We start from the raw sequence: 26,231 nt of genomic DNA, 5'->3' as shown, positions 1-26,231 counted from the left end.
CACTTACTAGGAATGCGATGTTGAACACATTACTTAATTCATGCCTCTACTTCCTCATCTGTAAAATGAGGATCATGACAGTACTTCCTTGGTAAAATTTTTGTGACGACTAAAGGAAATGATGCATTTAATAGGCTTAGCCCAGAGCATGGCACATGAATGCTCGTCAAGGGTGGATGTTAGTCTGAGGAACTGATTATTCATTGGCCCCAAAACTTTCTCTGAAGCTGAGCCTTTCATTGTCAGTAAGGATATAATAATCTTTTGTCCTAAAGGTGTGCAGTGGTCTGGTGTAATGGAAGATTTTTGGACTGGGTGTTAGGAAACGGGCTTTAGTCCCGCGTTCACTGCTCATTAGCTGTGTGAACTTGGACAAATCACTTACCCTCTCTAAAAATATAGATTTTTAAAATCTGTAAAGTAACAACAATATACCTGCACTGCCCTCCTCATTAAGTATGAATGATGATAAAAGACATGGGGAAAGTGCTTGGAAGTGTAAAGTGGTAGGTTACCTTTTGAATAATATTAATTAGAATAACTGAATGGTCTTCCATTTCAGTAGGTTCCAGTTAAACAATAATTTTGAACTTTCAGATTCATATTAGATGACATCATGAAACAAATAGTTTATGGAAATCTTCTCTAATTTCAAGTTAGCACATTCAGAGAGGAAAACAGATGGGTTCTAGAAACAAAATCAGATCTACAGAGCTCCAAATAGCTTATCAGCAGCTATAAGAAATTATGGGGTCAGTGAGAAGGTTGCCTTTGCCTCCTATTTTTGTCTTCTTTCTGTCTCTTCTTCTAAGATGCCTTATTAATCTGAAGGGGAGACAGTGAATACAGATACAGTGATAAAACACCCAGGATTTTCTAGGACAATCCAAATTTCGTGTATCTTTCTTCTTTTCTATAAAATTAGTAACTAAATGTGAAATTACTAACTAAATGTGATTTCATGTTGATGCTTTTATACAATTTTAATCATTTATCATAATTAATAGTTACACTTTGTTGAGTATTTCTGTTTATCAGACACTGTGCTAAGCACTTTCACAGTATCTCATTTTATTTTCATAACAGCCCAATGAAGTAGATACTATAATCATTGCCATTTTACAGACGCTCAGACAGGTTGTTGCCCAAGGTCACACAGCTAATCTCTGTCAGAGCTGGGATTGAATCCTCAGGATTGCCTTAGAAAAGCCAGAAAGAAAAGAAAACGTATTTTCAGACCATGTGTCCTGTTTTTGCATTCAGAAAATAGGTCCATTGTACCACAGAATTCTGAGCATCCACTTGGCGGGGACAGCCCCTACGATCAAGTGATGAGGGAAGCTTGAATTTGGGGAACACTGACTTTAGATTTATGTGGGCTGTCAGTGAGGGTAGTGGCTATCCTATCTTTTTATTTGTTTGTCTTTAAGGCCACAAAAAATCTTTCCCATGATCTCCCACAAAATAACCAAATATTCTGCATGCTCTCCAATGGCTGTCCTTTGCTTTCTCTTCATAGCCCTCCTAGTGGATGATACACACAAATGACTGGGTCCATCCAGCCATATGGCAATGGCCTCAGGAAATGGGCCTGCAGGTGAAGGGAGAGCTTGGAAAGGAAATTGGAACTAGATACATGGCCATTCCTCCCAATTCCTAGTAGTCACCAGCTTAAGCCAAACAAATGCAAGACCGTAAACTAAGCTTAGTTTCCCAATTCTAAGATTCAATATGTACTATGAATCCAGGGGAGCCTAAAAATATGTCAGAAAATACGTATGCTTTTTGCTTTCTCTCAGCTTATTAAGAAATGAAAATGTAGATATATTTTTGGTGGAGCCACTGACTTCAAGAATTTCCAAAGAAGTCTGTTTAGCTTAAGCTGCCTTTAGGCACTTCCGTTTGCTTGTGAATAAAGAGAATGTCATTTTCCTTTTTATGATTCTCCAAAATATATGCCCAGTAAAGCCATAAAAATGCATTGGTCCAGCTTTTCTGATTGCATTCTTCTCTGCAGCAATGGGCCTAACCTTAGCAAAATGTGGGATAGGCGGATGGCTGGCTATGTAGTTAGGATTGTTGGAAGGAAATGAACCTCCGCTTTCTGATCACCAGTATTGCGATTCCAAAAACAAGACTTCCTTCCTTTGGCCCGAGGCCTTCTACACTTGCCTAAACCACAGAGATGTCTGAGAGACGTTGTCCATCAGCCGTTTCTACCTTCATAGAGTGTAAATGAGTTTCCCAGCTCCTCTCCTGGGAACAGGTTCTGATTCTCATAGAAGAAAACCAAAATTAGCACATTGGAGAGATGAGCAAGGTGGCACCAAGGCATGGGAGACATCAGCTAGGGCAGCTAAAGATCTTCGTTCTATGTCTCAGAAGTCTGCTTTCCTGTAACCCTAGTAAGAGCATAATGGTAGTGGCAAGCACTTACAGAATGCTAACTATGTGGCAGAAACTGTTCTAGGTGCCTTTCATGGATGTAACCCATACAACAATTCTATAAGTTAGGGGCAATTATTATGTTCACTTTATTGGTGAGGAAACAGCCACACAACACAGAGCCTAATGCCTGTGGTCATTCTTTCTCGTCACAATATGGCCCAGAGAGTATACCACAAAAGCCGCTGTTCTGATTAGCATTTAATGCCGTGACTTGTTGACTTGCTAATCGATGTGAGAAGTAGATAGAACTGACTGCATTCTCCTGGGTGGGTGAGTACATGAGGAACATGGGAAGGTACATTGACTCTTTCAATTCTGTTGGGTAAAGCCTTACACAAAGCACTGTGACTGCGTGGGCACAAAAGGAAGAGGCTTTCCTCCCGCATCTTAATCACTTATATACAGAGCAGTTCTTTTAGCTTTAGGCAATTGCCCAGTCATACTCGGCATTTTGATTTTAGCTTACATCACTATGCCATTCTTCTTTATTCCTGCAAGATAGGGTACAAAGTATATTACTGCCATTATGCAGATAAAAGAATTGAGACAGGGTAGAAAAGGCTTAACGCGATAAATCTGGGGCTAGCCTTTAGATTTTTCGAATCCCACATTTTAAGTAGAATTACAGATTAGGAGACTCACCAACTTGACAAAATATGGGCCAATTCATTTTTCAGAACCTGAAACCTCAGCCTTAAGAACTTTAAAGACCTTTCTAGCTTGACATGTCTAAGGTCATTTTTTAAATGCTACTATTCAGCATTATGCTAGGTGGATAGAAGTGGTGGGATAAAAAAAATCATTTGTTAAAGTGATTATTAAAGGTTTTTAAGGTTTCTACCTTACTGATGAACCATGACATATTTATATTATTATTATTTATATTTATATTATTATTTATATTATCAAAAGGAATAAAAAATGGAAGAGAATGGGTAGCTTTGGTAAATAATATTGTACTGCTTCCTTTCATACTGTGCCAAATGAAAACCAGTAATTCTTTCTCTAGGATTTTCAGAAGGAATACATTTGTGCCAAGAGCTTTCCAAGAGAAAAAGAGACTGGACCAATCTTTGGAAGCCTTTTTCTCAGCCTCTCAGAGGTATAAAATGCTTCTGTGAAATAGTTCTGTAGTATGCGTGTTGGAACCTGGAAATTTTACAGCTGATGCAATTCTTTTGAGCTTCTTAAGCAAGTATAAAACATCACATCAAATTTCTTTAGCAAAAAATACTAAGCTTATGATGTTTATTGTTGATTTTGTTTATTCTTTATTTGTGTCCGTCAGACATTATAGTCTCAGGAACAAGGATCTCAGGTCATTGTGAGATCAGTAACGTTTGTCTTTATGGCCCTGAAACTATTCTTTTTCTCCCTGGATTTAGTGTCCCTCTCTTTTCTTCTGTGTTCCCCCATCCACTCATATTTCTGCATACAATTATTTTGTATCTTACTTCTGCTAGTCCCTCAAAAGGATGCTCCCTGACTTTTGGGAATATGTAATTGAAGGGACATCCAAAACATTCCTATCCCTGAGATAACCTCCCTTACTTCCCATGCTCAGCCAAGCCTAAGAAAGATAGAACCAAGAAGGAAGATGCATTATGAATAGGCACTATTTTATGCTCACAGAAATGCCTTTTGGATTATCTGTGCCAAGCTTACCTCCTCTGGTTCAGATAACTGAGAACTACCTATAACAGTTCTCACATCATTTTTCATCCTTGTTACATTGCCTACACAGACATTTTGAAGCAGTTTTCCTTCTTTAGTTTTTCATTAGGAGCTGTGGAAAATAATACTATGCTACTCTTGTCTTTAGAGAATTCATGTGGCTGTCTAAATACCATTGATTTATATGAAATAGCGTTATATCTACATTCTAGCTCTTGAGATTACTCATATGTTAATGATTCTACTGGCTGAGACTCAGGAACCATAAGGCGCACTGCAGCTTTGTCCTCTAGCCAGAAACCCATGACTAAGGTTCCCAGAACCAAGATATCTGTTTTGCTTCTAAGTTGGTCGGACCAGGAAGGTAATGTTTTTGGTAGGGAGATTGGGTCAAAATCAAGGCAAGTCCAGTGCACAGGAGGTAGATGACTATCTAATGTATTATCTGAGGACACAGCCTACTCAAGGCCATGTCCTTTGCTAGCTCCTCAATGTTCCTGTAATCCTACATTTTGTTTTTAGCTAAAGTTATCTCATTTACTCATTCAGTTATTCAATTTACAAATAATAATAATCCAGGCACTATTGGCAGAGATAAATAAGACAACAATCTTGTCTTCAAGAAGTTCATAGTATTGTGAGGGAGTTAAACATATAAACAAATAATAATACTATTGTAAGACCAGTGCTGCATAAATAGCTATGAGGACACACAGCAGGGCTAAGGGGCTGGAGATCTAGGGTCTGGGGAAGCAAATATTTCAGCAGAATTTCGAAGATATATCATTTACCAGATAAAGTGTGTGTGTATGGGGGGAATGGAGTGAGGGGGCTGAGTGCTAAAAAAAGGAAAAGTATTTGCAAAGGAATGGAGGGAAAAAAGGTCATAGTCCATGTGACATACTGAAAGTAGCATAGTTCCATATGGTTATAGTATAGAGCACTAGTAGTTAAGGGATGGGTGGAGAAGAGAGTAGGAAAGTGGGTTGGAGTTTTGTTGGATCATGAAGGGCCTTGTGTGCCATGCTTAGAATCTAGGGGTAACAGGAATGTTGTTGAAATCTTTTAGGCAGGGGAGTGACATGATGGGAAGATTGCTGTTTATCAGTGGTGGAGGGGGTAACATCAGGGAGATCAGTTAGGAGAATGGTGCAGGAGATGGTGGGAGCTTGAGCTTGAGTCAGTGGCAGTGGAAACGTAGACGAAGGTCTTTGGTGATGAGATGTGCAATATGATGAAGAGGCAAGATTCAAGGATGAGGTTTCTACTTTGGGCAACTGGGCAGTGCCATTCACTGAGTGTGGGAACATAGGTGGAGGCAAAAGTTTTCTGGGAAAAAAGAATAAATTCGGAATTCAGAACATTGAGTTTGAGGTCCAGGTAGGGCATCAAGATAAAGGTTTTAGAGGGAAACCAAACTATGGATCCAGAACTGGAAAGAGAGGTTGGGGCCTCTGGAAAGCCCATGTGAAATTGCAACTGTTTTGCATAGAGAAGGGTTTTGAATCATTACAAAAATATTCAAGAAGCAAAACTGCTTTATCTTTTATCCTAGAAATTCATATCATTTTTGAGAAGAAATACTCCTTTTATTTTAAGGAATCCTGGAAATTGCAAATGGTTATGTAGGTCTGTGTTTTAAGACCTCGAAGAGTGATGGCAGTAAAGGCCTTAAGTGGAGGAGAGGCCACTGTTGAGAATACTGACAAACCTTGTTAGAAGAAAACTTGCTAGAAGTGTGTTGTGTCAGCCCCTGGCTTGGAGATCTACCAGGAAGGGTTTTAAGATCTACTGGGATATCCTAATCTACTATCTAGGCATTGTTTCCTTTTGCCGCCTATCTATCAGGGTCCTGAAAGGGTTCAGGGCTCAGAAATGAACACGAAGGGAAACATGTGAGTGCACTTAAGGCCTCTGGCCAATTTCCAAAGCCAATGTGGCTGGTTATTTGTGTCTCCATAACTCTCCTTAAGAGTTAATTTCAAACTTCATTTGAAAATAAGTTCTAGTTTCATTATACAGGTGACCCTTGAACCATAAAGGTTTGACTGCATGAATCCACTTATACACGGATTTTTCTCTGCCTCTGCCACACCTGAGAAAGCAAGACCAACTTCTCCTCTTCCTCTTCCTCTTCAGCCTACTTAATATGAAAACAATGAGGATGAAGACCTTTATGATGATCAACTTCCACTTAAAGAATAGTAAATATATTTTCTCTTCTTTATGATTTTCTTAATGACATTTTCTTTTCTCTAGCTCACTTTATTGTAAGAATACAGTATATAATAGATATAGCATATAAAATACGTGTTAATGAATCATTTATGTTATCTGGTAAGGCTTCCAGATAATAGTAGGCTATTAGTAGTTAAGTTTTGAGAGAGTCCAAAGTTATATGTGGATTTTCAACTGTACAGGTGGGTAAACCCCCTACTCCCATGTTATTTAAGGGTCAATTGTAAATGGAAGTGTTGTAATAGCCCACAGAATTTTAGAATCAAAAGGAATCACTCTAGATTGTATTTACGTATTTTTTTTTTTATATGTCCATGCTGCCCTTCTAAACTGTGAGCTTATTAAGGGGAGGCACTCTGTTTCATTCACTTCCATAACTCCTGTAACTTCCCTGACACAAAATTCCTGCACTCAGGAATTGTTAGTTGCAGAATGATGGAGTCCACTCTGTCATTTTACAGATGTGGAATCTGAGGACCAGAAAAGCTATTGTGACTTGCCCAGGATTACACAGCTACTTAGTGGCAGAGTTGGGGGCCTGGAACTGAGGTTCTGAGTTGATGATGCTTTTCTTCAACACCCTTAACGGGACTATTCACCTCTCATAACAGAGTGTTCTTGACATGTGGTGACAAAGATTCTTTGACCAAATTCTCACCATGCTCCTCTGAGCCCTCTTCTCCACCCCGTCCCAACCTTGGCCTATAAAGACTAGAACAAAACACTAACATAGTTTCTAATAGCCCAAGACAACATCTCTAGGAAGATTCTAGTCTTCCTTAAAGTGGCTGCCTGAGAAGACTCAAGGCTGCCAAAATAATTTATTGTTTGTTTCACCCAACACCTCAATATAGTTCTCCTGTCTGCCAGTCTCCATGGAAGGGTGGGAGCCTAACTTCAGTAAGTGCCAGTTGACAAACTCAGATGAGTTTCACATAGGCCAAACCTCCCCTTTCCTGCTTTTTGTAACTTTTCACTTTCCTGACTCTATTGGGCCCCCTTTCATCTCCCTCCCCTTTCCCTCATTTTCCCTTCAAAATGCCCAGCCACCTCTGTACAGATTGAAGGTGAGTTCAGTTTATGCTGAACGCTTTTCCCTACTGCAATAGTATATTACTGATTAAAATCAGTCTTTAGCTCTTTAACAAATGTCCAGCTTTGTTTATCTTTGACAGTGGTTAGAGACTCTATATGAAACCAGACAGAATGCTCCTGGAGAAGTTTCCTCTATTTCTGAGCATTCCTCCTGTCTCCTAGATGCTTGGTGGATTCTTAAGATTTTATTTTAAAACACAGAGGATAGAGTGCCAGTACTCTGTGTGGCCATTTGCCTATGAGAAGGTAAATATGGATTCAAAAATCTACTTGGTGATTTGTGCCAACCTCAGTTTCCAAACATCTCTGTTTCCCTTAATAGCTCACTATGGGTCTGTCATCCATGAATTCATCTAAGCCTTTATTTAGGGGGAGGGGAAAGCTATTTATATCTTCAGTCTAATCCACCACTTGGTGTAATGAGTTCCATATGTCTCCTCCATTTTCTACCTGCTGTGAGAAGTAGAGTTTCCTTTATTTGTCCTAAATTCACCTCTGTGGGCTTTATGTTGATAAGATGCAAAAGCATATACACAGTCTCAGACACACATGTGATTTAGGATGGAAAACGACCTCACTATTAATTGTTATCTTTGTTTACAAGCATATTAAAAATTTAAATGAAAGAGAGCCCAAGTAATGCAATTGAAAGCAACACAGTAGCAACTATTTATCCCCAGGAGGAGGATGTAAATCGTTAACAAAACGGAGACCCATTGACACAGGAACCCGTGGAAATAAATGGGAAGCCTGCTATGGAATCAGCGCCTAGCCAAGCACTGCCTGCCTGCAGTGAAGTTGAAGCACCCTCTAAAAGTTCAGTGTAGCCCAGGAACATAACCTGTCAGCCTCCTCGCCTGACATGATCTTAATTAGCCTCTGTTCTACTGCTGAGAAAGCCTGCTGAGGCAGTTAGCACCAGAGAATTAATCAGATCGTTTGTGGAGTCGACAAAGCAGGACAGCAGCCGACACTGGCAACCTATTGATTGGAAAGGATCCAGGAAGACAGGGAGTGAAGTAGTCTCTATGTGTGCCCCCTCTTTCCTCTGAATGGGAATGCTCTACAGAGACTTCAGTTGGAGGTGAAGTGAGCTGTGCTCCACCTTAACCTCTGCTCTCCTCTCCAATTCATATTCTGTCCTCCTTGCTTGCATGCACTTTTTGGCTAAGGCATCATGTGTAGCCATACTGATGCCAGACAGTGTGTTTGACTGCAAGAGAGAGGGAAAGAGCACTGTTGATTTTGTTGCAAATTGCACTTTTGCTACAGGATTAGTTGAGAAAATGGGATTTTGCCAGTATTTCCCTCCCTCCCTTTGTTTACTGCCTATTTTCAACAGCCCTGTAATTGCTTTCCATTTAGTAAAAGGAACATTGTTCCTTTTTTGGTTTTTCTTTTAATTGTATTTCTTGCCTTGAGCTGTGACGTTTGGGAGCATTGATGGGAATGCCATGTTGTTTTGGTTCTAGATACCAACTTGGCCTTAGTAATCAAGGCAAGGTCATTGCTAGGGGAGGCAGTTCTGTGGTGGCCTCAGAAACGTTTATAACTTCTTCCATTAAGCCTTCCCTGGCTAGTCCAGCCTGCCTATCATGAAATTTCTCTTCTTTGGACTCCCACGGTACTTCACATCCATACCACACAATCTAGCTCTTGCTTTATGCTGTTTTGCACTAATATTTGCTTCTGTGCATTAATCTTAATATGTCTCTCTGGCCAAGATGTAAGCTCTTCAGAATCAAAGGCTCTACTTATTGAACAGAGCTGTTATTACTGATCTAGGCATAGTAAGAGACACTCAATAAATGCTAGATTGGTTCACTGCCAACCCCTTAAGGAGTTTCTGCAACCATTTATTTGGCCTGCTGCTTCCTTGGCACTGTTGACATCTTGGGCTGGATAATTTTTTTGTTGAGAGCGTGGAGAAGGATACTGTCCTGTGCATTGTAGGATGTGTACCAGCATTCCTGGCCTCTACCCACTACTAAAATGTCCCTAGACATTGCCAAATGTCCTCTGAGGGGGGAAAATTACCCTCACTCTCTATTGAGGACCACTGTTCCATAATGGTAATAAAATAATAAGAGCTAAAAGTCATTGAGCATGGGGTGTTACTGTGTTCAGCTTGATGATAAAGGCTTTAGAGGCATTATCTTGTTAAACTCTCACAACAACCCTGCCTTGGCTTTAATTGTTGTCTAAAGGGCTTCAAGGGACAAACCTCAAAGTCACAGTTGCAGGTCTATACCGCTGTCCATCCCTGCCCCAAGGAACATTTGGAAGAACCTTTTCAAGGATGTTTCAGGCCCAAACCCTGAATTTATAGACTACTCCAGATAACCCTTAATGGGTTAATTAACTACCTGTTCATTAAAAACTAGATATTCAGCTTAGTGAGGGTTAATTCCCTCAAGGAGCTTGATAAAAAGCAATAGAAGGTCAGAGCAAAAGCAACCCTGCCAGCTGTCACCTCCTTTTTTTTCAGAGATGTGAATACCATTTCAAACAGCTAATGCATTGTAGGGGGGCTAGAGATCTGTTTCTTTAGCTCGTATGATGACATTTTAGCTCAGGAAGCAGAATTTTTAGCTAGCCTACTGAAGTGATATTCCTACCCAACATCCTTACCAGCTGTCTTGCAAACAATGCAATTGGTCACAAGAGGGACAGGGTAAAAGAAGTTGGATAAACCAGTGCAGATTTGTCCTTCTATAGGGGTGGGGGGCTACTCAATGCACATCTCCTGACAGTAGCACCATTTCCGCATATGAAGGACAACCCAAGAGAGAAATTTTGACATTTTAGCTTAATTTGTCTCTAGAGAGGAATGTCTCTGGCTGTGAAGTCAATTCAACCTCAAATTCACTGCCACCAAGGAGTTAAAAATACATTAAAATTAATCGTCATTTTCTGGAGAAATATTCTACTTATGGAAAATACCTTTATAGGAAAACTGCTTTTCTGAGTCTGAGCTGGAAATATTACAGTAAACAGGATCTAATCACAGTGAAGCCTTTTTTCAGCTTTGCATGACAGCTGTAAAATATGACAGTATTTATTAATAGTTGCTGCAGCCTAATCTGCAGCATTGGAGAGCTACAGAAAAATATGTTAAGCTACCGAGAGAACAATTTCCACAGTAACTAATATTCAGCTTCTGAAAGGGTAGTTTAATGTCTTTTGAATTTTTTCCCCTACTGATGGTCCAACCCCAGGAACGAGCTACTAAGCTAATAACCTTTGTGGAGAGTAAGTGTTTAAATGATAATTTATTTCAAGAGCTGACAACAAATTGCTCGGCACTTTCTCTTCTTATGCCCCAAAGCAGTCAAGGATGTGCAAATCGAAGTATTAAAAAATATGACAGCTCTGGTATTTTCATTTTCGATGAAATTCTCATTACAGACAAATGTACAGTCTTTTATTCACAATCCAGTCCAAATAGTCATTCACTATTATTATTGTGCGGGCTCTCAAGATGCTCTCATAGTTGAAGACTCATCACAATAGATTAGGCAGGCTGTGGAAACTACCAAATGTCTCAGGTACTGTCAACCCTGATTATTGCTGCTCAAACAGGGGAATTTAGTATCCGTCTCTCACACGATAATGTACTCGCTGGGCCTTCCTAATTTATTCAGATGTAAAAAGTAGCTTGAATTTCAATAAAAACTCTCTTGACTTCACTTTTCCCAGAAGGCAAATGGACACAATCAGAATTGGAGCCATCTGTTTCCTTCGTACGTCTTTTAATCAGTTCTTAAAGTGAAGAAGAAAAAGAATCCATGATAGTCTGTCCTTTTTTTCTTTCTTTCTTTCTTTCTTTCCTTTCTTTCTTTCTTTCTTTCTTTCTTTCTTTCTTTCTTTCTTTCTTTCTTTCCTTTCTTCTTCCTTCCTTTCTTTCTTTCTTTCTTTCTTTCTTTCTTTCTGTCTGTCTGTCTGTCTGTCTGTCTTTCTTTCTTTCATAATTGAGATACCCTGCTACTGTCTTAACAGTTTTGGCCAAGCAGTCATGGTACTTAGCTGGAACTTTAAAGAAGTTCATGATAGTGGCCTATCCTGAACCAGAATAGGCTCCTCCAACCAGAAATATAGCCCCTTACCAATGACAACCTGCAGATTTTTCTTTCTGTGTTCAGGAAAGTCTCTGACCCAGAGAAGAATAGATGAGTTCCCTTCCCTCAGAATCAGGGCCTCAGCACAACCCTCCGTTAGTATGCATCACAGCAGTTACCTTCTGCCTGCATTTAGAACTCTGCTGTCTCTCTGCCTTCACCTTTGCAACTCATTTACCTCTTAACCTGGATTTTTGACCTCTTGCCTGTCTGGATTCCTGGTACCCTGAGACAACAAGATATTACATTCATTTGTGGATACCATGCCTTAAGAAGGAAATTGGCAATTGGATTGCATCCACGGGAAGACAACCAGGATAGGGAGGGTCTAAGTACCTGGTCTTTGAAGAATGGCTGAAGGGAAGACTAAAGGAAGAGGTAATAGTTGTGTTCAACTGTTAAGAATGTAGGAGGCAGTATGTCAGTCAGAGAACAGTACATAGACTGTGGAACGTGGCAGACCCAGGTTGAAATCTGGTTTTATTACTTTGTAGCTGTGTGACCCTAGGAACTATCATTTAACCTTTCCATGCTTTGGTTTCCTCAGTTGTAAAGATGCAGGGATGTTACAAAGATTAAATGAGATAATCCATAAGCTCAGGGCCTAGTGCATAATAAGTGCTTAAGAAATGGCAGTTGCTCTTATCACAATAAGAATAAAATGATAACAATAACAGATTTGTTGACATGTGTCATTGATTGGTATTGAGGTGTGTGTGTGTGTGTGCGCGCGCATGAGTGTGTGTGTAGAGAGAAAGAAAAGGGCGTAAGGAGTGGAGAGGAGAAAGGAGGAAAGGAGGCGAAGAAAGAGAAGGAAGATAGAGAAAGAGGGAGAGAGAGAGAGGTATTTTGTGCTTTATTTGGGAAAGTAGAACTGGGTGAATGGGATGAGGCTAGGCTATGTAAGTAGGTGGAGAATGACAACATGCAGAAAAGTGTGAGGCTGAAACTTTGCTTGTCTCTCAGTAGAGTTCAAATCTAGCCGGTTGAAACATTCATAATCCTCTGAGGACAGGCCCTTTTCTCCTTTTCTTGGGGAATCCCTTTACCTCTTAAGCCCTTTAGGACCTTCCAACATTTTCCCACCTTCCTAGCTATCTGACAACTCTTTAATCTTTTCACAGGGTTCTTGCTCTAATGAATGCATATTTCATTGGTGGATCTGGAAACAGTTGTATTAAAAATTATTTTTTTCAGGCCTCTTAGATAAGTCACTCTTTCAGCAACAGTATTGTCAACTTCTCAGAGCTGAGATCTAATTCTGCTTCTTTTAAACCCCACCAGTGGCCTAGCACAAGCTAACACTGGAGAAAGCTTAATAATTGCTTGTTGACTGATAGGATAATTGTTACAACTGCCTATGTTCCTGTCACAACCTTCGAGAGGAAATAGAAAGATCTGTTAGAAGGCTGTTGACTTCCAGAGAGTTACTTGGGAACTGAGTAGGGAGTTTCAGGTTGAGAATGGGAGACAGCAGGAGTTTATTGAACACTGGCAAGAAGGTAGGGACTAGTTGCCTCAAAGGGCACCCAGAGCTATTATCTCATTATCTAAGCTGAGAGCCACAGCTGGGCCGGATTCTTTCATCTCTGTGGGCTGTGCCCATTGAAGCCAAGGAGAGTTGTCAGGTGCACGAGAGTCTGGCTGCAGTTCTCAAGTATGTTGCTGTTCTGGGGGAAATGTTAGCACCACAGAGAACTAGGTCACTTGCACCCAAAAGATAAGTCTAATAACTGGAAGAGATGGCCACCTCCCTGGCATGGTTTTAGGACTTTCTATATAGGAAGGCATGTGGGCAAAGGACCTCACAAACTGGACTCATGGTGCCTGGAATCCCAGAATTAAAAAGCTACACCTTGGATTATGGTTCTGTATTCACAGAAGGCCTTTGCCTGAATAGAAATTTCTTCTTCCCTGGATGCACTAACCCATCAAGTTGTTAATAGTCATAGATAAATTAGCATGAATAAATTGGTCAGCTGAGCTGTTGTCACTAGCAGAGAAAGACTATTAATCAGTGGGAAGAAAATGCAGGACAGGGAAGTTTTTATGAAGGTGTAGAAGCAGGTTGAGACAGAGATGTTAAGGTTTTGCTCCTGCCAGGGAGGGCAGGTGTAAACATAATGCCATAGTAAGGAAAGAGGGTGTTAATAGGAGAGGGTACCGATAGGGCAGACAACACACTTAACCTCATAATTTTTTCAAAAACTGTTCTTTTATGTATATAGCACCAAGAAAGTAATTTTCAACTTTGTATTAATGAATCAAGGTAGGATTTTAGAAACTGACAAACTGCAAACCCCAAATCAGACTTTCGTCTGCAGACAGAAATAGAAGCAGAGTCAACAAAGCCCTGAATTCCACTCAATGTTTCATAATTTCAGAGAAAACTTTACCCTGGTTGTGCTACAATTCTTTTAAATGATCTCAAACATTTAACCCATTTCTCAGCTCCCCACTCATCCCTGCCCTTATACAGTAGAGTCACATCATTTGTATATTTAGCTTATGAATGTAATTATAGGTGTTCTCTTCTGTTTCTCTTTCTCTTCTATCTCTCTTATATAATTTAAAATATTGTAAAATTATATTTTCTATTGTAATTTCTCCCTGTAATTTTTATTACTAAAGCAAGAGATGATCATTGCACAAAACAAGAAAATACAGAATACTGAATATTTTAAACAACTGTACCAAGTGATTGGTATGATTTATGAATTGGGCCTGCTTTCCCTCCCTCCCTCCCTTCCTCCCTTCCTTCCTTCCTTCCTTCTCTTCTTTCTCTTCCCTTCCTATCTTCTTTCTTCCCTTCCCATTCTCCCTCCTACCCATACCCACCCTTCCTTCCTTCTTTATTTTTCTTTCTTTCTTTCTCTCTTTCTTTCAGTCCAGTGTTGAAAAACAGACATAGGCTTATTGTTGATGAATCACTAAAGGAGGTTGGAAAACACTAAGTAGGCACACAGGCATGTGCTATGTACTAGGGGAGGCACAAAGTATAAATCTAGGGGCTAGCCAGTTGTTTATTATCACACTGGAGAGAAATGCTTGGGAAGGTATAGTATAGATCATAGCCAGTGAAATAACAGCAGAAGGCAGTTATATTCAATGCCAGATGAATGACATGGACAGAAGGGTTCTGTGGGTGTTTAGAGGTAGGCAAGATCTCTGCTCCTCAAAACTAAGTCTCCTCCTGTCCAGTCACCTCAGTAAATGGCATCACCATCTTACCATCTTACCCAATCTCTCAAGCCAAACACATAGTAATCATCCATGAAGCCTTCCTCTCCTTCACATCCCACAGTCAATCTGTCCCCAAGTTCTGTCAATTCTGTCTCCAAAGTATACTTCAACTCCACCTCTTTTTCTCCATCTCCAGCTTAGTCCAAAGCTGCCATCACTTCTCATCTGGATGACCACAATGGACTTTCAATTGGTTTCCCTTCTTTTTTACTTGCACCACACTCCATTCTCTACAGAAATGTAGATCATGTGACTTCCCTGCTCAGAATCCTCCAATGACTTCCCACTGCAATTAGAATAAAATTCATACTCCTCAGCATGGCTTCTGTTTATACTCTATGGCTATGATCTGGCTCTTGTCTACCTCTACAGTCTGCTCTCAGGCCACTTTCTACCTACTTGTTATCCTTTAGCCACACTGGACTTCTTTCAGTTCCTCAACCATACGACATGACCTTTGCACTTGCTATTTCTACTGCTTGAAACTATTTCCCTCTACTCTTCACATGCTGCCTCCTTCCAGTCCTTTAGTTCTCAGCTTAAATGCCCCTTCTCAATGAGGCCATCACTGAACATCCTTTGGAAATTAAGCCCTATCCATTATTATCTGTCTATTTTTTTCCTTCATAGCACCTTATTTAAATGTGCAATTGTTTTTTTGTTAATTTACTTGGTTTTTGTCTATCTCCATCATTAGAATGTAGGTTTATAAAGCAGGAACCATATCTAACTATATCTATGTGGTTTTTATTGTAGCCTTAGCATCTATTGCATTAATGAATAATTGTGAGCTAGAGTGGTCAAGGAAGGCTACCTTGGGGAGGTAGAGTTTGAGGCGGGTTTTGAAAATTGGAAGAATGGACATGATTACCATATCAAGATAAAGGAGAGAATTCCAGGTAGTAGTAAAAGTACGATTGCTGAGGCAGGCATGGTTCTGGTGCATTTAGGCAGCAGTGGAAAATGGGAGCTTCCTACAATGGGAGGTTCTCATTGGGTAGCATAGGGAGAATGGGTTTGTTAGTTGGTTGAGGCATACTCATGCCAAGTCTTGAAGAATAGACTGCTTTTTTCAATATGGGCAATAGAAAGCCATTGAAAATTTTGGAACAGGATCCTAGTACAGTAATGTAAGAAGGCTTTTCAAGGGGTAAATTAGTGTAAAAGTTTATGGGAAGTACTTCTTAAGCAGAGCGGATTAGTCCCACCAGCTAAATGGCTGCAGGTGAAAAATATAAAGTTACATGAGTCAGAAAGCTTTCTTTGACTCCAAGACCATAGACTTGTCCAAACTATTTAGTTAGATGATTAGAGAAAAGATGCAAGGGTAAGAAATAGATAGATGGTCTTTTCCTCCCGTTCTTCTAGTAGAGAGCTAATGAGCAGAGAAGGGTCACACTAGATGAGGATAAAATTCATTAATTGTGTCTTCTGCTTTTGAATAAATGAGAGGTACACTGTTGGTGGAACCAATATTTCGTTTTTAAAATGTTTCAGGAGAGAAGTTGCCTGACTTACAAAGTTCAGTTCTGAAAACGAAATTGATATGCACTAGATTACGCTGTATACAGTACATGTATACTGTTTGGACAAAATGAAATTTATTAAAATTTGGCAAATTATGAATTAGAATATTCAAGCTATTTTGTATCTCAGTCAGACAGGGCTCTACCTGAACACACAGTGTTCCTTCCTGGCCCTGCTGTTTGTTTGTTCTCTTTTCTCCTCTCCAAAGCCCCATCTCCCTTCTCTCTTGCAACCCACAACTTATCTATCTTTCAAGGCTAGCTTCTCTAGCAAGCTTTCTCTGAAAACTCTACTTTTCTGGAGTGCAACCTTTCCACAATTCTTAAAGTATTCAGAGTATACAGTGTAGCACTCAATTTGATGTTGTTCTGTGTTGTTCATGAATTGCTTTATAAGTATCTTTTTCTGTACACACCCCCTTGAAACCATATTATATATGTATGTATCACAGGATTGGAGACCACCATTGGGGGTTGATAATGGCTTGTAGAATGGATTGACTAATTAACTGATAATATATAAGTTACGATTAGTAGCAAGATACAAAGTGTCAGTAGCTGGTCAAATATCTCAAAAAAAATCACAGAATCATGGAATATAACATTAAGAAGGAACACACCTTAGGTGAGGAGGCCAAGTCCAAGAGCATGTCAATGAGTTGGTCAAGGTCAACTTGTTAAGTGAGCTAGTAAGTGGCAGAGCTTGGACTAGACCTCTGGTCTTCTGCTTCAGGTTCATGAAATTTGATGATAGTTTGGAGGTAAGTACAATAGGGAAATACAGGCCTAAGTATTTGCTATTAAGATTTGATGATGCAGCAAAATGAGAGTAAAGTGAAGAGTGTTCTGGATTCCCAAGAGCAAAATGGCCGTTCAAGTTAAGTTACTTAGAAGGACCTCTTCTACAGGTACCCCTCAGGCAGATAAGCCTTTCATTTAATCCTTCTGAGTTTAAAAATTCTGAGTTAGAGAGAACCACCCCCAGCCTATAAATGGAACCACAGGCAAATGAGTGATAAAGTAACATTGTCTTCTGGAACGTCTTGGTGATAGAATCCCTTGGTTTTACCAAGGAACCCGTCAAAGACAACTGGGTGTTGGAGGAGCCTGATTAGATGAATTATGATGTGTGTGCTCTAGCAAATTAATCAATAGACCTTACTGTATATTATTTAAGATCAGACTCTTAATTTCTGAGCCTGTTTTAATAGAGTGTATCCTCAATATATTGTCTCACTATTAGAGGAGACTGGGCATATTTAGAGTGGTATGGCCGTAGACTGTCTCACTATTTAAAACAAAACAAAACAAAAACAAAAACAAAACCAAAAACAAAACAAAAAGTCAATCCCCAAAGCCCAGTTTAGCTGTCTCACTCATTATTTCTATCAGATAATTGTTGAGGCCTGCTAAGCTGAAAACCTAATGTGATCTGATGGAATGAGTCCTGGAAGCAAGAGACATTGCTACCAGTCCCATTTTAGTGGTGAAACTGCTGTATGAAAAAGCACTTGGACTTTAGCTATCTCATCTATGAAATGGGGATAATTACAGTTTCTGACAGGATTAATTTTCCAAAACTTTCCAATTTAAGCCTCTCTCTACTTAGACTAAGCTGCTTTTACTTCATACATTTTAGACCAGATAAAATTTTTGATGGGGGAGGCGTTCTTTTTCAACTATGGTGACTCAATCAAGAGGTATTCCAAACTGCTTTTTCAGGGAGGGCCTACATAGCTTGAAAAATTAGGTTCTAAAATTACTATTACTTTTATTTTTTAATCTTAACCTTTGATTTATTTGGAATATTAAATACAATTTTAAAACAGAATTAGATTTTATTTATTGGAAGCAAAGGGCACATAAGCTGAGGAAGTTTGAACACAATTACATGAATATCTAAAGAGCAGAGCAGGTGCCTCTTCTTACCTCGTTCTGTGTCATAGAGGTACACAAACTTCTCCCACTTGTAATGACCCAGAAGACTCAGAATAGCGCCCTTCAAGGCTGGGCGCATCTGGATGACAAACTGCACATCTGCGTCAGTGGGGAAGCTAGGCGTAACAAAGGATGTGTGCAGGGCCCCACAGAAGGAGGTCAGGGTGTTCATTGACATCTGGTCATAGAATCCAAAGATGGCATACACCCCTCTCGAGAACTGGGAGCAGACTGCAATGAGAAAAAGAGAAAAAGATTCAATAGCTCCATGGTCCTTTGCTGCAACTTGTAGGGTTAGAAATACAATGTACAATTAGGCCCCAAATTGCATACCTCAGAAGAAAGAAGCCCCTGAAAACCCAGTTACCCAACAGGAGAAGAGTAAGAAAGGGAAGAGAATTAATTTGATACAGGTACACATTCTCTATGTGCACAATGAGCTGGAAACTAAGAAAATGTGGGAAAAATAGAGGTGAAAGTCGTCTTACTCCCTTTCAAAACCCTCCCGGCTCATCTCCAAGGCATTCAGTGCTCTTGTACTTCCACTTTAGCTGCCCAGGGGCCTCTTAGTGTACTAATGCGTCCATCAAACTACAACTACAACTGTTTTTTGTACCACCCTTCATTCCTTTTTCTCATAGGTGACTGAGAATTTAGTAAGACTAGCTGCTAATAAGTCTGCTAGGAAATGTGTTACCCTTCAGGTTACATAATGTCTTAGCCACAGTTATGTTATTATTAAAGCCCTTAATGTGGGCTATTAATTTAGATGATTTAAGGCTCTGGGCAGGCCATGGGAAGACTGTCCTTTCAGTGCTCATCGAGTCACAGGGGTTAGGTGGCTGCCTATCCTGCCCATGTGTAATTGGGAAAGTTCTATCTTGATCCTTTTGCATGTATCTTATAGACTCCACTAGCCCACATGTAGAATTTTCACACCCCCCTCACAGTTGTCACCTTTCCTTCATTTCAAAGTGGGCCACATTGCTGCCTCTTCTCTCTTCTGGCCCATAAGAGCTTAAAAAATGTGAACCAATTTTAATATTAGCTTCAGTAGAACATAATTAGCAAAACAAATCAGCTACAACAACACTGTGGAGCATTCACAAACAAAGTGGAAATGATCTTTAGATTATCTGCACCACTGCTCACTTCCATTCATGCGAAGCAGACATAACAGGCATAATGTGGTGTGATTTAAGGGGTCCTGCATGGTCTCCCTTACCTACTAGAAAACCCTAAATACCACTGTTAAGTTTACTTCTTCAAGTGTTTAAAAGAAGTCTGTGGCCTGGGAGAGTGATTAAATAGAATCTTATTTAGCAGTTACTGTGGTAAGATAAATTAATGTCTGATTAGATGCAAGGATGAGTGGGAAATCAGATGGGTAAATTTTGATGGGGATGAGTGGGTCAGAGAAGAGAATGTGTATGGGGTCTGGAGTCCTCCCTGAGAGGAGAAACAGTGAAGACGTTGAGCACCAAAAATAAAGAAGGTATTGAAAGCATGAAGGCAAGTGGAAAACCAATTTAATTCATTTCTTGACCCTGTTGTGAGAGATAGAGTTCTCAGTGGATGTAGTATTTTGCTTTCCCTGCATTTGATTCGAATCTATGTTGATTAGAGCTGTTCTCTTTTTATCAACCAAAGTCATTAGCCATTGGCTTGAGGGTAGCATTTCAAAAGTGATTATCAGTCACTTAACCATCTCCATCATAGGAGACAATAGTCTTCAACTTGAAGAATTCTAAGTGACCCTCAGACACATGCACAGGAAACGTCTTTATATTAAAAGGAAAAATCCCGTCGCGGTGGCTCACGCCTGTAATCCCAGCACTTTGGGAGGCCAAGGCAGGCAGATCACGAGGTCAGGAGATCGAGACCACCCTGGCTAACACGGTGAAACCCCGTCTCTACTAAAAATACGAAAATTAGCTGGGCATGGTGGCGGGCACCTGTAGTCACAGCTACTCGGGAGGCTGAGGCAGGAGAATCGCTTGAACCCGGGAGGCAGAGGTTGCAGTGAGCCGAGATCGTGCCGCTGCACTCCAGCCTGGGCGACCGACAGAGTGAGACACCGTCTCAAAAATAAACAAATAAATAAATAAAAGGAAAAATCCAACTAGAGTGAATCTGGGGTACTTCATGACAAGAGCCAAAGGGAGTACAATACTCAGAAACAAAAGGGATGTCTTGATCATCACCAAGGGTGATGCTAAGAAAAGTCCCATTCTCAAATTAATCCTGTAAGTGGAGTTTTGCAATACCAAATCAAATCTTGGCCAGTGCACATAATGTTCTGTACAAAATTGACAATAATAATGATAACATCCAATAATAATGATAATAGCCATTGATAATAACAGCCATTAATAATGAGAATAGTATTTAGCCAGGCACTATACTAACTACTGTACAAATATTTTTTCATTTAATATTCTCATCAGCTTTATGAGGTATTGCTGTTATTCCTATTTAATAGATAAAAATTCTGAGACCAAAAAAACTGTTCTAGCTATTAAGCAGAGGAGCCAGAATTTGAATCTGAGTGTGCTTGATCCAAAACTCACACTCACATGTACTCAAATCCAATAATGTTATTAAAAAGTAATCATTGCTCCACAAGAGATAGGGTTTCGAGCTTTAGCAAATAAAAACAAGATTTTCAATTAAATTTGAATTTCAGGTAAATAATTTTTTAGTATAAGTATGCCTCAAATTCATACATACACTAAAAACATAATTTGTTGTTTATCTGAAATTCAAATTTAACTGGGCATCCTGTATTTTATCTGTCAACCCTAGAAAGAACCTCTCCTTACTAATAATGGTCATGGGCTGGAAGACTAGAACAAGCAATCATGGCCCTTCAACCAAAATGATTCAAAGGGTAGCTGGTAATTCTCAGATCCATACCAACTGGCAAAAGAAAAATTAGGATCCATGAATCCTATACAAAAATAGTCTCATGGGAAAATGCAACATATTTTCAGTAAGGAGAACTCCAACCTGACTAGATTATGGGCAATAATTGAGGGGGAATATAAACTTAAAAAGAAGGAAAACTATAGCCATGATCCACTTTCAGTTTCAAAAACTCTTGAAATAGTGGAAGGAAACAGAAGATAAGTGGCGAGGTTCTGGTTGATTAAAAAAAATCTTGTATTGCTCTTCTAATCATTGACCTTGAACTCGGGGTGCAGAATTAATTAATCATTGTTAGTTCATACACGGACTTTTAATATTTTATTTATTGCATTCATTTATTTATTTAGACTATAATGAACACCTATAAAGCCATTACCCAACCTGAGAACTATAACATTACTGGTAACTTACTTTTATCTATGTGGTCCTCCTCTAGTCCATCTCCCTGTATTGATAACACTCCTCCCTGCTACCCCTGCCCCAGGTAACTACTATCGTGAAATTTGTATTTATTATTACCTTGGTTTTAAAAAAATATACAAACACATACACCTAAACGATATATTATTATTTTTGCTTGTTTTAAAGCTTTATATCAAGGGAGTCATATTGTATATGTGAAACCCAGACTTTGGTAAAACTTTATGAGTTGTCTCCAGGAAGGTGAACCCAGTGAAATCTTTAAGCCTGTATATTATGACAAGAAGAATGAGACAAAAGAAGAACTTATAAAAATGTGTAGGGAGCCTGTGTGAGAAAACCCACTGAAATTTAAAATTTCCAAACTAAGCATACAGCTCTGGTTGTGACTCAGACAAGGGACTCAGGAATATTTATAGATCAGTGGCAATCCTCAGGGAATAATATGCCACCGTGGTCCAAAAGGCAGATCCACTGTCTTTTGGTGGTGGACATCAATAAGAAGAGTTTTAGGTGAAAATCAGGAAACATTTGACTCCTTTCATATAAAACAGAAGTACAACTGTCCTTCAAATATTGACCCCTGTGCTCCACCCACTCCAACATAGACAGACATCAGTAGAAGGCCTGCGAAGGATTAGCCCAATGGGGAAGACAACTGCCATATGAGGACAGTGTTAATGGCCTCTGAAAGAAGCTGGGGCATGGGGGACCTGTGAAGGGCCTTTCACAGCAGATCCTAGGCCTGTTCCTGGCTGTCAAAAGTAGGGTTGAATGGAACACTGAGTTGACCCACCCACAATGTCTATGATTTTAGATTCTTAGAATGTTTGAGCTAGAAGGAACTTATTTTTTATTCACTTGTTTCTCAAGCATAGTTTTTAGTGGTGAAATCCTTTCTCCAAATGAAATTTTATATGGAAAAGTTTATTTTACAAATGAGACAGTGGAGCTCTTCTGATTGAACAGAGTTTCACTGGTCTGATGTCTCCCTATCATAAAGAAACTATGACACAAAGGGAGGGAGTGTCTTACACAAGGTCACACAAGAATTATGAACTAGTCTCTTAGAAAAGCTTTATTGGCATTTCCTCACCATCCCTACTCCAGAGCTATCTTTTGCAGCGTGGGTCAGGATTCACCTGCATGAAAGTGACTTACCTTCAATGCCTAGCCCTCAGACAAGGTAGCATAGATGGCTCTACCAGGGGTTTCCCATGATTCATCTGCCAGCTGCTTCCCTCAGCTCCCTCCAGCCCCAATAACAGCAGTGAGAGCTGGTTGCAGATTGGTGATCTTTTGGGAGTCATGATTCTTTTGGGGGATGTCTGTTTCCTTTATCTGAATCCTTAATGAAGCACACCCATTTCTCTTTTTTTCTTTCTTTCTTTCTTTTTTTGAGATGGAGTTTTGCTCTTGTCGCCCAGGCTGGAGTGCAATGGCCCGATCTCGGCTCACTGCAACCTCCGCCTCCCAGGTTCAAGCAATTCTCTTACCTCAGCCTCCCAAGTAGCTGGGAATACAGGCATGCGCCACCATGCCCGGCTAATTTTTGTATATTTAGTAGAGACGAGGTTTCTCCATGTTGGTCAGGCTGGTCTCGAACTCCCGACCTCAGGTGATCCACCCGCCTCAGCCTCCCAAAGTGCTGGGATTACAGGAGTGAGCCACCATGCCCAGCCTCACACCCATTTCTTTATCTCAGAAGACTCTCTGGTAAAATGGTGATGGAAGAAATATTTGTCTTGGCAATCTTATAAAGTCATGAAGTGCAGAGGGAAAGGCAGCAACTTCATAGACAGGCAGATCTTGGTTCCAATCATGGCTCTGCCAGTCATAAGCTGCGTAACTTTGCGCAAGTTATTTGACCTTTCTGAGCCTCAGTATAGGATGGTTATTACATAGGCAGGTTCTAAAGTTAGACCACATAGGTTGAAATCCTGTATCCTTTACTTATTAGGCAAGTTACTTAGTATCTCTGTGCCTCTGATAGAGTTTCTTCATCTGTAAAATTGGGATAATGACAATAACTGTTTCAGCATTGCTGTGAAAGTTAAAATACGTTCATTCATGGGCAGCACCTATAACAGTGCTTAGCATATAATAGACATTCAATGAATACTAGCTATTTATTCATTCATCAAATATTTTTTGAGCGTCTACTATGTGTCAGGCACTGTTATAGATGTTGGGAGATACAGGAGTGAAAAAGATCCTGTCCTCTTGGGACTTACAGACTAGTGAGGGGAAAATACAATAAATGAGACAAATAAATAAAATATGAAGTATATCAGCTTCACCTCTCTCTCTCTCTCTGTGTACTTTGCCCTCTGTTAGCTCTATTGTGTTATCCTCCCCACAGTAACCATTGCCCTCTATCTCATACCAAGCCCCAGGATATCACTTTCCATCTCTTTCACTTTTCCTATCCATTTCTTCTTTCCTAGTCTCACTTCTGGGTGGTAATGGGTTAAAGAAACTCTGCCAATTTGGCTCAAGAAGATGCCATTGTCCTCTGTCTCTTCCCTCCCTATATAATGCCTTTGTGCTGGTGAAATGCTGTCCCTACCTGGGGCCTCTGTGCCTTCTCAGTGTGAAATAGCTTGGTTGTCTGCCTCCTAAGAGTGCCTGTCTCTGTATATTCCCAGTAACAAAATACCAATTTTTTTTCTCATTGAAGATGTCGTTTCTGACTACATTCTGGATTCCTGGGGACTCTAGTGTAGCTCCCCAGCTGCGTTCCCTTCAATGGTGAGTGGCAAGCAAGGCTGGAGCCAGCTGTCACGCTTTTATTTATAGTCCCCGAGTCTGTAGGGTCGAGACGGGTATTGTTAATGTACAGTGTGGCACCAAATTATACCACCCATATTCCAAAAGGCATCATTACAAAAATGTCAAACAACTTGATTACTTCAAAGTTCAGAATAACAATATTGCATATCATTTACAGAACACTTTTCATACCTTTTGAATCAAGGAGGAAAGAGGGAAACTGAAGTCTCTTGCTGATTTAATGATTGCATTTAAAGCAAGCAGGAAGACGAAAAATATAGCTATGAAGAAACTCATAGAGCTACATCACAACAAGGTTCTCCAGGTAATTCCTTCATAGTACAGTGAAGTCCAGTGGATCAAAGAAACTTAGAGCTAGGAGGGACCTTGAGAGATCATATAGTCTGGTGCTTTCTAAAGCTGTGGTATTAGTAATTGGTGGAGTTACCAGTGTAAGGAAATAAATAAATGTATGCTGTGTTTTATTGTGTGTGTTGGAGTAAGGTAGACAACTCGTGGTTTTTTTTTTTTTTTGAAAGACAGTACTTTTCTCTATATAATTTCTACTCTTTAGTGCTATATGTAGTCTTTATTTTCTGAAATGATGATGTTGATGATAAATGATGATGATGTCTATCACATGGAAGATATATTTATATATCTATATCTCTTATGTGGGTAGATAAAATAATGACTCCCCAAAAGATGTCCATGTCTGAGTCCCAAAGTCCCTGAATTAGGTTATACGGTAAAGGGAAATTAGGCTGTAGATGGGATTAAGGCTGCTAATCAATGGACCCTAAAATATCAAGAATATCCTGGATTATCTGGGTGGCCCAGTGTAATCACAAGCTTCTTTAAATGTGGAAGACAGAGGCAAAATGAGAGTCGGTATCAGAGTAATGTGACATGGGAAAGACTTGCCTGGCCATTGCTAGCTTGAAAAGTGGAAAGAGGCCACAAGCCAAGAAATATGGGTAGTCTCTAGAAGTTGAAAAAGACAAGAAAACAGGGTCTCCCTTAGGGCTTCCAGATAGGAACACAACCCTGCCGACACACTGGTTTTAGCCTGGTGAGACCTGTACCAGACTTCTGACCTACAGAACTGTATGATAATAGTCTTGTGTCAATTTAAGCTATTAAGTTTGTGGTAATTTTTTACAGCAGTAAATAGAAAGCTAATACATTTAACATAGCAAAATTAAAAGGTTGGTAACTCTCTGGATCAATGTGCACCTGCCCTACCTTTTTCCCCCTAAAATATTATTAATCTGATAAGTCCAAAAGGTTGGAAATGAATTATCTAGTCCAAATTCCCATTCAATACATGAGCCACCTTCTGTGAGGTCATATTGCCTCTCCTTGAATCCATCCAGTAACAAGGGAACTCACTACTTCCCTTGGAGGGCAGCTCTGACAGCTAGGGAGCTCGTCCTTAAATTGAACCTAATTTTACTCTTTGGGCTTCTTGAGTGCCACACTGTAGTCTCTCTATGCTGCCTTCTTCCTGTCAGGCTAAACATCTGCTAAGATTCCATTTCCTCCTAAATCCCTGCCACCTCCATCAACTATCATTCTAACTCCTTTATCACTATTACTAATGATGGGATAATAAAGATCTTGCAGTCTTCAGCTTCTGGAACCTAGTTTCTGTTCCAACTCCTCTACTGAACTGCTCTCTCAAGTTCGATGATGACTTCTTCACTGTCAAATCCCCCTCTATTCATAGACGTTGTTCGAATTGATTGCTGAGCCGCATTTGATATTGTTGGCTAAATCTTAGCCCTTGAAACTCTCCTCTCGGATTTCCAGTGCATTAAACTCTGCTGGC

The 26,231-nt window shown here is 39.9% G+C and overlaps 1 protein-coding gene across 2 annotated transcripts in view; it reads right to left on the bottom strand.

The window, feature by feature from the left end:
- The window catches only part of GRIA3 (glutamate ionotropic receptor AMPA type subunit 3), a 306,638-nt gene that overhangs the window by 219,102 nt on the left and 61,305 nt on the right, over nt 1-26,231 (bottom strand). For both annotated transcript variants that reach the window (NM_000828.5, NM_007325.5), the window contains exon 3: nt 18,272-18,511. In NM_000828.5, the coding sequence (NP_000819.4) occupies nt 18,272-18,511 (240 nt within the window). The remainder of the gene's footprint in view (nt 1-18,271; nt 18,512-26,231) is intronic.

This window comes from Homo sapiens, chromosome X (assembly GCF_000001405.40).
Source record: "Homo sapiens chromosome X, GRCh38.p14 Primary Assembly".
Taxonomy (NCBI): Eukaryota; Metazoa; Chordata; class Mammalia; order Primates; family Hominidae; genus Homo; species Homo sapiens.
This window is presented reverse-complemented; position numbering and strand designations above follow the sequence as displayed.